This window comes from Homo sapiens, chromosome 15 (genome assembly GCF_000001405.40).
Source record: "Homo sapiens chromosome 15, GRCh38.p14 Primary Assembly".
Lineage (NCBI taxonomy): Eukaryota > Metazoa > Chordata > Mammalia > Primates > Hominidae > Homo > Homo sapiens.
Window position 1 is genome coordinate 24,857,609 of NC_000015.10, and position 12,254 is coordinate 24,869,862.

The 12,254-nt window shown below is 40.9% G+C and overlaps 1 protein-coding gene and 1 long non-coding RNA gene across 86 annotated transcripts in view, besides 6 other annotated features; both read left to right on the plus strand.

Moving 5' to 3' along the window:
• SNHG14 (small nucleolar RNA host gene 14) overlaps positions 1 to 12,254 on the plus strand; it is a 595,855-nt gene that overhangs the window by 34,001 nt on the left and 549,600 nt on the right. The window lies entirely within an intron of this gene.
• Positions 1 to 12,254, plus strand: part of SNRPN (small nuclear ribonucleoprotein polypeptide N) — a 155,087-nt gene that overhangs the window by 33,972 nt on the left and 108,861 nt on the right. For 2 of the 85 annotated variants that reach the window (NM_001400724.1, NM_001400723.1), the window contains exon 1: positions 5,364 to 5,494. The exons of the other annotated variants lie outside the window; for them this stretch is intronic. The gene's annotated coding sequence lies outside the window, so the exon portion shown is untranslated. Of the gene's footprint in view, positions 1 to 5,363; positions 5,495 to 12,254 lie in introns of those variants that run through there. 85 annotated transcript variants of the gene reach the window in all.
• Positions 134 to 428: an enhancer, noted in NCBI's record as "tiled region #849; HepG2 Activating non-DNase unmatched - State 7:EnhWF, and K562 Activating non-DNase unmatched - State 24:Quies". NCBI's record gives its function as "activates a minimal TATA promoter and a strong SV40 promoter by Sharpr-MPRA in HepG2 and K562 cells {active_cell/tissue: HepG2 | K562}" and the evidence as "EXISTENCE:reporter gene assay evidence [ECO:0000049][PMID:27701403]".
• Positions 134 to 803: a biological region, named in NCBI's record as "Sharpr-MPRA regulatory region 849".
• Positions 292 to 803: an enhancer, noted in NCBI's record as "NANOG-H3K27ac hESC enhancer chr15:25103047-25103558 (GRCh37/hg19 assembly coordinates)". NCBI's record gives its function as "activates a minimal SCP1, AML or CMV promoter by ChIP-STARR-seq in naive H9 embryonic stem cells {active_cell/tissue: H9 hESC(naive)}" and the evidence as "EXISTENCE:reporter gene assay evidence [ECO:0000049][PMID:30033119]".
• Positions 804 to 1,317: an enhancer, noted in NCBI's record as "OCT4-NANOG-H3K27ac hESC enhancer chr15:25103559-25104072 (GRCh37/hg19 assembly coordinates)". NCBI's record gives its function as "activates a minimal SCP1, AML or CMV promoter by ChIP-STARR-seq in primed H9 embryonic stem cells {active_cell/tissue: H9 hESC(primed)}" and the evidence as "EXISTENCE:reporter gene assay evidence [ECO:0000049][PMID:30033119]".
• Positions 1,318 to 1,830: an enhancer, noted in NCBI's record as "OCT4-NANOG-H3K27ac hESC enhancer chr15:25104073-25104585 (GRCh37/hg19 assembly coordinates)". NCBI's record gives its function as "activates a minimal SCP1, AML or CMV promoter by ChIP-STARR-seq in primed H9 embryonic stem cells {active_cell/tissue: H9 hESC(primed)}" and the evidence as "EXISTENCE:reporter gene assay evidence [ECO:0000049][PMID:30033119]".
• Positions 4,744 to 5,473: an enhancer, noted in NCBI's record as "H3K27ac hESC enhancer chr15:25107499-25108228 (GRCh37/hg19 assembly coordinates)". NCBI's record gives its function as "activates a minimal SCP1, AML or CMV promoter by ChIP-STARR-seq in primed H9 embryonic stem cells {active_cell/tissue: H9 hESC(primed)}" and the evidence as "EXISTENCE:reporter gene assay evidence [ECO:0000049][PMID:30033119]".

The following is a 12,254-nucleotide window of genomic DNA, read 5'->3' on the forward strand; positions in this document are numbered from 1 at the left end:
AATTTAACACCTTTGTATTGGTCATCTGGGTCGATGTCTATTGTTTAGGCTCAACCTTTGACACTCCTCTGAGGTAGTTTTTATGTGAATTTGTAACCACCCAAGGGATTCACCTTGCCAGCTGTCTAGACAGAGCCGATTTATCAAGACAAGGGAACTATAATAGAGAAGCAAGAATTCACCCAGAGCCGGCTGTGCAGGAGACCATAGTTTTATTATTACTCAAATCAATCTCCCTGTAGGGGGATCAGGGGTTTCTAAGAATAATTTGGTGGGTAGGGGGTCGGAAAGTGGGGAGTGCTGATTGGTCATGTTGGAGATGAAATCATAGGGAGTGGAAGCTGTCCTCTTGCGCTGAGTCAGTTCCCCGGTTGGGGCCATAAGATCAGATGAGTCAGTTTATTGATCTGGGTGGTATCAGCTGATCCATCGGGAGCAGGGCCTGCAATAGATCTCAAGCACTGACTGAGCTTAGGTTTCACAATAGTGATGTTATCCCCAGGAGCAGTTTGAGGCAGTTTAGAGTCCTGCAGTCTCCAGCTGGATGAATCCTAAACCGTAATTTTTAATCTTGTAGCTGATTTGTTATTCCTACAAAGGCATGATGGAGGGGGGTTGTTTTGGGAAAGGGCTGTTACTGTCTTCATTTAAAAGCTAAACTATAAACCGAATTCCTCCTGAAGTTCGCGGGGAATGAACAAGGGCAGCTTGGAGGTTAGAAGCAAGATGGAGTCAGTTAGGTCAGATCTCTTTCACTGTAATAATTTTCTCAGTTATGATTTTTTGCAAAGATGGTTTCAAATTGATGGCTTAGTGTCCTGGGTAGTGAAAATGGAATTCCTCAACCTGAATTGAACATGGATTTCCTCCTGAAGAAACAATTTAGGGCTCCAAAAAGTAAACCAGGAGCCTGGCACAGTGGTCACACCTGTAATCCCAGCACTTTGGGAGGCTAAGGCGGGTGGATCATAAGGCCAGGAGTTTGATACTAGCCTGGACAACATGGTGAAACCCTGTCTACTTAAAAAAAAAAAATACAAAAATTAGCCGGGCATGCTGATATGCACCTGTAATCCCAGCTACTCGGGAGGCTGAGGCAGGAGAATTGCTTGAACTTGGGAGGCTGAGGTTGCAGTGAGTCAACATCGAGCCACTGCACTCCAGTCTGGGTGACAGAGAAAGACTCTGTGGGGTATGATGAGGCTTCTCTTCAAATAGCCTGATCAATCGTTTATTCTTTAATTAATAGTAACCCCCACCCCCTTTTCCTTTTTCTCTTTTTTCTTTCTGCCTTTGTTGCATGCCCGGACATGCCACAGTAGCAGGCTTATCAGTACCAGCTCACATTCCTTTCCTTATTTGGAAAGGAGACTAGCTCTCTAGCTCATTGCAGACACCCCTTCCCCTTTTCCCCTCTCTCCCTTATGTGCCCACCTTATCTAAAGAAAGTTCAATTGTCTAGCCAACCAGGATTAGTTCAGACTGTGCGACCTGACCTCCACCAATGGGAAAAGGGTACAGGGGCAGGACTTGGGGCAGGAATAAAGACTCTTGTGCCCCTTTGTTCTGGTGTGCTTTCATGGCGACTGGCCAAGGAGAAGCACCCCTCTGCGCAGAAGTAAAATTGCTTTGCTAAGAATCCTTTGTTTGAGTGTTCAATCTCCCTTAGGATTTTGAGCATTATTCCCAACCATTCAATCCAAAAAAAAAAGTAGACCAGGATTGATTTAGGGCCTGTATTATAAATTGTACAAATGCCAACAAGATTGTATTCCACTAGAGGAACGCATTCTCTAGTGAAGGAAGCATTCCTGCAGGATGAGTCCCTGAGACTCACTAGCAAATTTCATACAAGTAATGAAATCCTCAGTCTAATGGAATAAAAACAATTCCAGGGGCATTTGTTAAAGATGTATAAGATGTGAGAAACCAACAGACTAACAGCATTGATACTTTATGGATATTTTTATTCCAAATTAATAGATGTGTTACAGGAAAAGGGTCCTGATCCAGACCCCAAGAGAGGGTTGCCGATATTCAGGGCCAGTCTGCAGAGTAAAGTGAAAGCAAGCTTACTAAGAAAGTAAAGCAGAAAAAGAATGGTTACTCCATAGACAGAGCAGCCCTGTGGGCTGCTGGATTCCCATTTTCATGGTTATTTATTGATTATATGCTAAACCAAGGGTGGATTATCCATGCCTCCCCTTTTTAGACCATATAAAGTAACTTTCTGATGTTGCCATGGCATTTGTAAACTGTCGTGGTGCTGGAGGGATGTAGCACTGAGGACGACCAGAGGTCACTCTCGTCACCATCATGGTTTTGGTGGATTTTAGCCGGCCTCTTTACTGCAGCCTGTTTTATCAGCAAGATCTTTATGACCTGTATCTTGTGCCAGTCTCCTGATGTGACTTAAAATGCCTTAACCATCTGGGAATGCAGCCCAGTAGGTCTCATCCTCATTTTACCCAGCCCTATTCAAGATGGAGTTGCTCTGGTTCACATGCCTCTGACAGATGGACATTTGTTTGCCAAGCAATGCTGCAATCAGGGGCTCTGGATTTCAGTCCTCCATACAGAGAATGTCAAGGGCAGACCTTAATAAAAATAAATAAATGAATAATCAAATTTTTAAAATTACCTCTTTCATTCTTTTATTGTATTATGATCTGACACCATTAACTTTAATTTTCTTGCATATGGAGAGCAACTTGATACAAACTGGTATTTATTTAGTGAAGAAAAGAGATAAGGTGATTCCCAAATTTAAAGGAAACTGGAAGTTTTGTGGGAAACAAATGGAGGAGATAAGACTTACTAGTTTCTACTTATTTTAATGAGAATTGTGTTGTTCATTTATAAATACAAAGCTCCATTTAAATTACAGATGCTTTTGATTTATGATGAGGTTACTTCCAGATAAACCCATCACAAGTTAAAAATGTCATCAGTCGAAAATGCATTGAATATACCTAACTTAGTTAAAATCACAGCCTAGCCTATCATCCTTAAGTGTGCTCAAAACACTTATATTAGCCTAACGTTTGGGAAGATCATCCACACAAAGCCTATTTTATCATAAAGTGTTGAATATCTCATGCAATTTATTGAATACTGTACTGAAACAGAAAAACAGAAAGATTGGACACTCAAAGTATAGTTTCCATTAATGTGTATTGCTTTTATTTAATTTAAAAATTTTAAGTTGAATCATAGCAAGTGAGGAAGCCCATATATTATAAAATGTAATAAGTTTACCAGCCACAAATAACAACAAATCATAGGAAATGCAGGGATTGGGTTGAGGTGAGGTGGTTCAACCTATTATACCCATTTCCTTCATCTCTAATGGGCTGCCCTTCATCCTTGGGGTTGTTGCAGGGTGGCTGTGCAGTGCAAAGGGCACACAAGAATTGCTTGAACCTGGGAGGTGGAGGTTGCATTGAGCTGAGATTGTGCCACTGCACTCTAGCCTGGGCAACAGAGTGAGACCCCATCTCAAAAGCATAAATAAATAAAAGGATAATATCTCTGTCAAAGTACAGTGATGCATTGCTTAATCATGGAAATACCTTCTGAGAAATGCATTGTTTGGTGATTTCATCTCTGTGCAAACATGGAGAGCATTACACAAACCTAGAAGGCATAGCCTACTACACATCCAGGCTACATGGTACTTACTATTGCTCCCAAGCTATAAGCCTATAAGCATGTGACTGTCCTGAATACTATAAGCAATTGTAACACAATGATAAGTATTTAAACATGTAACCTATCTAAACATAGAAAACATAAAAAGATGGTATAAAACAAAAAATATTGTTCAGTTGTATAGGGCAGTTGCCATGCCTGGAGCTTGCAGGACTGGAAGTTCTTCTGGGTGAGTCAGTGAGTGAGTGGTGAGTGAATGTGAAGACCTAGGACATTACTGTATGCTACTGCAGACTTTAGAAACACTGTAAACTAAGGCTACACTTAATTTATTAAAAACTAAAGTAATTGTGCTATGGCATCGTGACAGCTTTGACATCTCTAGGTGATAGGAAGTTCTCAGGTCAATTATAACCTTATGAGAGTACCCTCCTATATGTTGTCTTTCCTTGACAGAATAAAATATCATTTTGAGAGCCATGACTAATAAACACATAAGAGTCGATTTAATATTTATTTTAAAAGCCCTTCCATAGTTATAAAAGCATAAGTTTTAGTCACATCAAAATATAAACAATCTTGAAATTAATTCATAAGTAAATCAATAGATATCTTGAAATTGTGCTTATGATAGTTCTAAACCAGACTTTAATGCAGAATCTTGGATATCTTAATCGCACTGTGTGGCAGGAAGACTGATGGCAATAAAACATTTCTTAAAAAAGAGGCTGCAGCATTTTCTGTGCAATTTGCACCATTCCTGTTCACACCTGTTCTGTAAGTGTTGCTGCAGGCGATCCTGTAAGAAATGACAGCGGGTTGCAGCGCAAGTTCATGCAAACAATGAAAAGCATGTCATGGCTACCACTAGGCTAACGCTATTGTAATAAAATTTGAAATAAAATAGACTAGAAATGATGAAATATGAGAACAACATTGGAAATATTTATCAAGGGAACCATATTAATGTAAGCGAATTTTAGAGAACAAAATACTTTTCCTAGGTCTGCAAGGACAAAACTGTCCAGAAGAACAGAAGAGGGACAGATGAGGTAGAAGCAGCATGGCCCATGAGAGGGGCTCTGCAGTGGATTGAGGGTGGGGAGGCTGGCAAAAAGGCTGGGCAGAATCAGGGCTCACATCCTGACCTGAGAACAGAAGAGAGCACAAGAAACAGGTTCATCTTCAGGCACAAATCCTCTTCAGATTGAAAGAGAGATGGAGTGTCTAGGGAAGTAGGCAAGCATTTGGGGAAGGAGAGTCACTGATTCATTAGTGAAACACAACAAAAAAACAAAATCTTCTGTGTTGCTGTTTGTCCACTGCATGTGTGGGGCTCACAGGGGAACAACATAGACAAAGTTTCCAAATTCTCAGGTGTTTAAGACGAGTGAGGATTCAGAAAACTTAACAGAAACTAAACTGCAAGTGCAAGAGCTGCCCTTAGGAACTCAGGGGACAGGCATCAGGCCTGGGATGGGATGGACAAGGGGGGCCTTCAGGAGGAGGAGCATTGGAGGAGATGCTGAAGAGTGAGGGGCAGGGGATCCACCAGACAGGGGAGGTAAAGGGAAGAGGAAACAGTGTGTCTGGCACAGTTCAGGGCATGAGATAAGGGCAGTGGGTTGGAAGGATCGCTGGGATGAATAATATATGAGGAGGCAGGAGCAGGAAGGACAGACCATAAAGGGCCTGAGCAGGGGAGGGAGGACAGCTCTGGAAGTGATGCAGAGGCTGCTCCCTGCGGACTGCCTTCTGTGGGGAGGAGTTCGAATGCCTTTTCTTCTTTTAAGTGTTACTCACAATCCATGAGATCTACTGACAAGGAAGACAGTTGGAACAAGTAAGAATAGTCCTTGTTTGATGGGAAGGAGCAGTAGCATTACCAGGAGGGGTTGGTGTTGGGGAGGGGCAAGGGTGGGGAAGGGCAGAGAAGTTTCTGTCCCCTCAGCCATTTTGCAGATGTAGGTTGGATCACTGGATCACAAATTCACAGTGGCTGGCTCATGGCCACCTTGCATCACAGGGTGAGAGCAGCCTCACAGGAAACTGCAGATAAGGGGGGTTCCCAGCTGCACAGAAGAAGGACAGCAGGTAACTTTCAGTCAAGGTTGGCAGGGGGCTGCAGAGGTGGCAGCAATGATGGTGGTGGGCAGTGTGCAGCCTTGTAGGCCACTGTCTCCATGGACATACAGATTTGCACGCATCTGTGTCTGCGTGTCCTCTCGGTGTGCTGACATTCTTACAAAATCCTCATGAATTTCTCATTGTTCTGAGACCATAACATGTATTTTGACTTTTTTCTACCACATGTACCCTTTCATGTGTACCTAGCAAAATTGACCAAAATTCCTTATTGGTGGATTATTCATAGCTACAGTATTTTCCAACTTAATAACTAAATGAATTGCCCTGCTTTGTATATGTTTGCCTAATCATTCCTGAAGATTCATGTCTCCTCATTTCAGGGGGAGCCACCCCTGCATGTTCATAAGCAGGAGTTCAGTTTAGGGTGTTCTGTTTTCCTAGTTAACTGTGGACACATCTGCGTTCTGGAAACTATTAAACTCTCAATACTCATTTGAAAATTCCAGTTACTTTATCTTTTACTTAGCTTTCACTTTATTTACAGTACTCTCTCTTTTCTCCTGCTTACTTTGGATTTCGTTTGCTCTACTTTTAAGTTTCCTATGGAGGAAATTTAGATTATCGATTTTTAGATGTTTTTTCTTTTTTAAATTTTATTTATTTATTTATTTTTATTTTATTATTATTTTTTTTTTTGGAGAGGGAGTCTCTCTCTGTCGCCCAGGCTGGAGTGCCATGGCGTGAACTCTGCTTACTGCAAGCTCCGCCTCCCGGGTTCACACTATTCTCCTGCCTCAGCCTCCCAAGTAGCTGGGACTACAGGCGCCCACCACAACGCCCGGCTAATTTTTTTTGTATTTTTAGTAGAGACGGGGTTTCACCATGTTAGCCAGGATGGTCTCGATCTCCTGACCTTGTGATCCGCCCGCCTCGGCCTCCCAAAGTGCTAGGATTACAGGCAAGAACCGCCGCTCCCGGCCCCTCTTCTTTTCTTTTTTTTTTTTTTTTTTTTTTTGGTGGAATTTTGCTTTTGTCACACAGGCTAGAATACAATGGCGCAATCTCGGCTCGCTGCAACCTCTGCCTCCCGGGTTCAAGCGATTCTCCTGCCTTAGCCTCCCTAGTAGCTGGGATTACAGGCGCCCGCCACCACGCCCAGCTAATTTTTGTATTTTTAGTAGAAACGGGGTTTCGCCATGTTGGTCAGGCTGGTCTCCAACTCCTGACCTCAGGTAATCTGCCCACCTCAGCCTCCCAAAGTTCTGGGATTACAGGTGTGAGCCACTGTGCCTGGCCAATGTTTTTTTTTGTTTGTTTGCTTTGTTTTTAATAGATACATTTCCCCCCTATGCTCCCTCACTGCATTCTACAAATTTTGATAAGATGCATTTTAATTTAAACTTAGTTCAAAATGTTGTTTAATTTTCTCTTGAGATTTCTTGCATCATGTGTTATTTAAAAGTGTGTTAGTTAATCTCCATGTATTTTGAAGTTTACCAGTTATGTGCCTTTTATTGATTTCTATCTTAATTTTATTGGGGTTTTAGGGTATATATTTGTTAACATAAAAATCATGAGATCTATAAATTTGGAAAGAAAAAGAGCTATAAATATTCTTGAAGGTAGCCCTACAGCATGTATACTGAACAAACATGCACGTAACCTATGACCCATGTTCACCTTGGTGTGGAGACTGAGCTTTTTTTTTTTTTTTTTTGAGACAGAGTCTTACTCTGTCCCCCAGGCTGGAGTGCCATGGTACCATCGTGGCTCACTGCAACCTCTGCCTCCCAGGTTCAAGCGATTCACCTGCCTCAGCCTCCCAAATAACTGGGATTACGGGCACCTGCCACCATGTCCAGCTAATTTTTGTATTTTTAGTAGAGACAGGGTTTCACCATGTTGGCCAGGCTGGTCTTGAACTCCTGACCTCAGGTAATCCACCCGCCTTGGCCTCCCAAAGTGCTATGATTACAGGTGTGAGCCACCACGCCCAGCTGAGACTTAACATTTAAATGTATTACAGTTAGGCCCTACACACAAAAGCCCCTTTCAGGACACAAAGGCAGACAAGTACACAATCTCTAGAAACCAGTCAGACCCAGTCCATGTTTGGTGGGCTCTTATCAGGAGAAAGTTACTGAAATCAGTCTCTTGTGCAATCAAGGCTGTAGCGATGGCTGTTGGAACAGAGGCTGGAGTTAGCGTCTGGCGGTGGATGAGCTGCAAATTGTTTTAAGATTGTTTATGTGGAAGTCAGTGCTTGCTTAGCTGCTAGAGAAAAAGATAAACCTCCTGTCAGTTAGAACATAGTTTATTCTTCAACTATAGGGGTGAGTGACTTAACCCTTGCCTGTCATGGCCTTAGGTCTTATTTATAATTTGATATCTTATTGCCACCAAGAAGAGTTCATTCCTTCATTCTTATGATCTCTATTTTAATATGAATGCTGGTCAGTTGTTGTGTCTAAACTGCAAAAGAGACAGATGATAACGAGGCATGTCCCACTTCCTGTCCCATCATGACTGGAAACTCAGTTTGTATGGTTTCCCTGCGGTCCTGTCTGTTCAGTCAGTTGGGGGGCTTAGGATTTTATTTTTAATTCTCATAGAGGAGTGTTGAAGTCACCGACCGTAATAGTGGATTCATCTATTTTTCCTGTTTTAACGGTTTCTGCCTCGTAGTTTTATGTTCTGTTGCTACATGTTAGAATTATTATATCTTCTTGGAAAATTGACCCCACTATTATTATGTAATGCCTTTCTATTTCCCTGATAATTTTTCTGACTGTATAGTCAGCTTTTTCTGAAATTAATATAGCTACTCCTGCTTTTTCTATTTGCTTGCTATATTTTGTTCCATCTATTTACTTTCAGTTAATATGTCTCCATTTTTATTAAATAACAGATAAAATGAGATGTATGTACTATGTATAACATGAGGTTTGAATAATAATGTGCATTGTGGAATGGCTAAATCCAGCTAATTAACATGTGTATTACCTCACATAGTTATCATTTTTGTGGAGAGAACACTTTCTATCCACTTTTTAAGCATTTTTTTAAATAGACACAGGCTCTCGCTCTGCACCTAGGCTGGAGTGCAGTGGTTTGATCACAGCTCACTGCAGTGTAGACCTCCTGAGCTCAAGCAATCCTCCTGCCTCAGCTTCCTGAGTAGCTGGGACTACAGGTGCACACCACCATGCCCAGCTAATCTTTAGCGTTTTAAAAATAAGACTTATGTTTTTAACTAGAGAAACCATATGGTACAATAGATCTCTTGAAATTATTCCTCCTCTCTGACTGAAATTTTGTATCCATCCACAAAACTTCTGCCCAACCCCACCCTCAACCCCAGGCTCTGGTAACTACCGTTCTACATCCCCACTTGTATGAAATCACATTTTTTAGATTTCACATGAGTAAGATCTTGAGGTATTTATCTTTGTATGCTTAACATTTCAGTTAACATAATGTACTCCAGGTTCAACCATGTTGTCGCAAATGACAGGATTTCCTTTTTATATGCCTCAGTAGTATTCCATTGGGGATTATATATATAATTTTCTTTATCTGTCAACGGACACATAGGTTGATTCCGTATGTTTGCTATTGTGAACAATGTTAAACACTTCTCATTGAGGAGTGTTGAAGTCACCAACTATAATAGTGGATTCATCTATTTTTCCTGTTTTAACAATTTCTGCCTCATAGTGGTTTGAACACTGCTAAAATATACATGAGTGTAGGTATCTCTTCAACATACTGATTTCATTTTCTTTGGATATATAGCCAGCGTTGGGATTGCTAGATCTTATGGTAGTTCTATTTTTAATTTTTTGAGGGGCCTCTATACTTTTTTCGATAATGGCTGTACCGATTAACATTCTCATCAACAGTGTGCAGGGGTTTCCTTTACAACACCTGTTATCTTTACTCTTTTTAATAATAGCCTTGTAACAGGTATAATATCTCATTTTGATTTTAATTTACATTTCCCTGTATCTGTCTTTATATTTAAATAAGTTTTTTTTTTTTGGGGGGGACGGAGTCTCACTCTGTCGCCCAGGCTGGAGTGCAGTGGTGTGATCTCGGCTCACTGCAAGCTCCGCCTCCCTGGTTCACGCCATTCTCCTGCCTCAGCCTCCCGAGTAGCTGGGACTACAGGCGCCCGCCACCACGCTCAGCTAATTTTTTGTATTTTTAGTAGAGACAGGGTTTCACCATGTTAGCCAGGATGGTCCCGATCTCCTGACCTCATGATCCACCCGCCTCGGCCTCCCAAAGTGCTGGGATTACAGGCGTGAGCCACTGCGCCCGGCCTTAAATAAGTTTTCTCTAGAGAACATATGGTTAAGTCTTGTTTTTTGATCCACTCCAACAGTCTGTGTCTTTTCATTGGTGGTTTTGAGCCATTGAAAGTCAATGTGATTATTGATAATAGCAGATTGCTATCTACCATGTTTATTTCTGCTTTTCATTTGCTGCCCTTGTTCTTTGTTCCTCCTCCTGTCTTCCATTTGTTTGCTTCCCTTTATGGTTTTAATTGAGAATTTCATATGATCCAATTTTCTCTTCTTAGCATATCATTATATTTTCTTTTTATTTTTAAATATTTTAGTAGTTGCCATATGAAATAAAAACTTTTTCATATTTTAGTTGATATAACAGATAACAGTTTGTTAAAAACAAAAATTGTAGCCATTTATTTGATGAGGTATTCTTATGTTTATAGTTTGAGTGTGTGTGCATGTATATGGGTGTGTGTGTGTATATATATATATATACACACACACATATACATATGCATGAATGCTCATATATAAATGCAATGAATGACAGCAATAGTACAAATTACCAAAGTACAAATGACTATTGTTTCCTTATTATAGGCAACTCACACTACTTGTGAACTGATAGAGTGTTATTTGAAAGGGAGTTTGAATTAACTGTAAATTTAGGGACTGGCTATTGGATTAAGATCCTCCATTCCTTGGCTGGCTGTTGTCCAGAGGCTGCATTCAGCTCCTTCCCATGTTGGCTTCTCCCACATGGCAGAATGCTCCATCAAAGCTACAAGGGGAGAGTTTGCTAGCAAGACAGAAGTAATGATTTTACATAGCATAATTACCCATGTGATGTACCTTCAGCTGTGCTCTATTCTCTTGTTTCAAAATAAGTCAAGGTTGCTGCCCACACTTACAGGGAGAGGATTAGAATGCAAGGTTGTGTTCACCAGCAGGTGGGAATCACTGGGTGCCAATCTAGGGTCTGCTTGCTGTGTCAGATCTTCTCCAACCTGCAACAGTTTCTCAGTGTTCAATTATTTTGTATAACCTGAATTCTTTTGAAAAGTACCAGTCAGGTGTTTTGTGGAATTTCCTACAAAATGGATTAGTCTCATGGGTCTCATTATTACAATAGAGATATGCATTAATTTAGACACATGTATGTGGGTGTTAAGAAAAACTGAACAATGTATTACTTAGAAATACAAAAGGAGAGACCAGGTGCAATAGCTCACACCGGTAATCCCAGCACTTTGGGAGGACGAGGTGGGAGGATCACTTGAGGCCAGGAGTTCCAGACTAGCCTAGGCAACATAGCCAGACCCTATCTCTAACCACAACAACAAAAATTTAAAATTAGCCAGGCATGGTGGTGCACACCTGTGGTCCAAGCTACTAGGGAGGCTGAGGCAGCAGGATGTCTTGAGCCCGGGAGGTCGAGGCTAAAGTGAGCCATGATCACACCACAGCGCTCCAGCCTGAGCTACAGAGTGATACCGTGTCTCAAAAAAAATGGGGATATGCACTCAGGGGTTTTCAACAATATTGACAAGGTTTGGCTTATTATACTGGGAAGGGAATTTATAAAAAAGAAACTTGTTAAATTTTAGAATAGTTTAGATATACACAGCAGTTGCCAAGATAATACAGATCATTTCCTTATGCTTAGCATATAGTTTCCCTTATTATTAATCCCTTACATTAGTGGGTGATATTTGTCACAATTCATAATTCAGTAGTATACATTATCCTTCTCTATGATTCACATTTTATTTAGAATTTTTCTTCTACCGAATGAACACTTTGTGTTCCAGGATTCCCTCCAGGAGACCACATCACATTTAGAAATCCCATCTCATTAGGTTCCTTCTGCCTGTGACAGTTTCTCAGACTTTCCTTGTTATTGATGACATTAACATCCCCAATTTGGGATTTCTCTGACATTTTTCTCATGATTATACTGGAGTTGGGTTTGGGGAAGGAAGATCACTGAGAGAAAATGTCATTGTAACCACATCATATCACGGGTGTCTACTATCAACATGATTCATGCCTGTTGATAGCAATTTGATTACCTGGACAAGTTAGCCTTTGTCAAATTTCTTTACTGTAAAATTATTTCTTTCTCCACTTTCCCTGTTTCACTTTTTGAAAATAAGTCAGCATACATAGCACATACTTAAGAACAAGAAAGTTATGCTCTACCTCCTTATGAACTGAGGA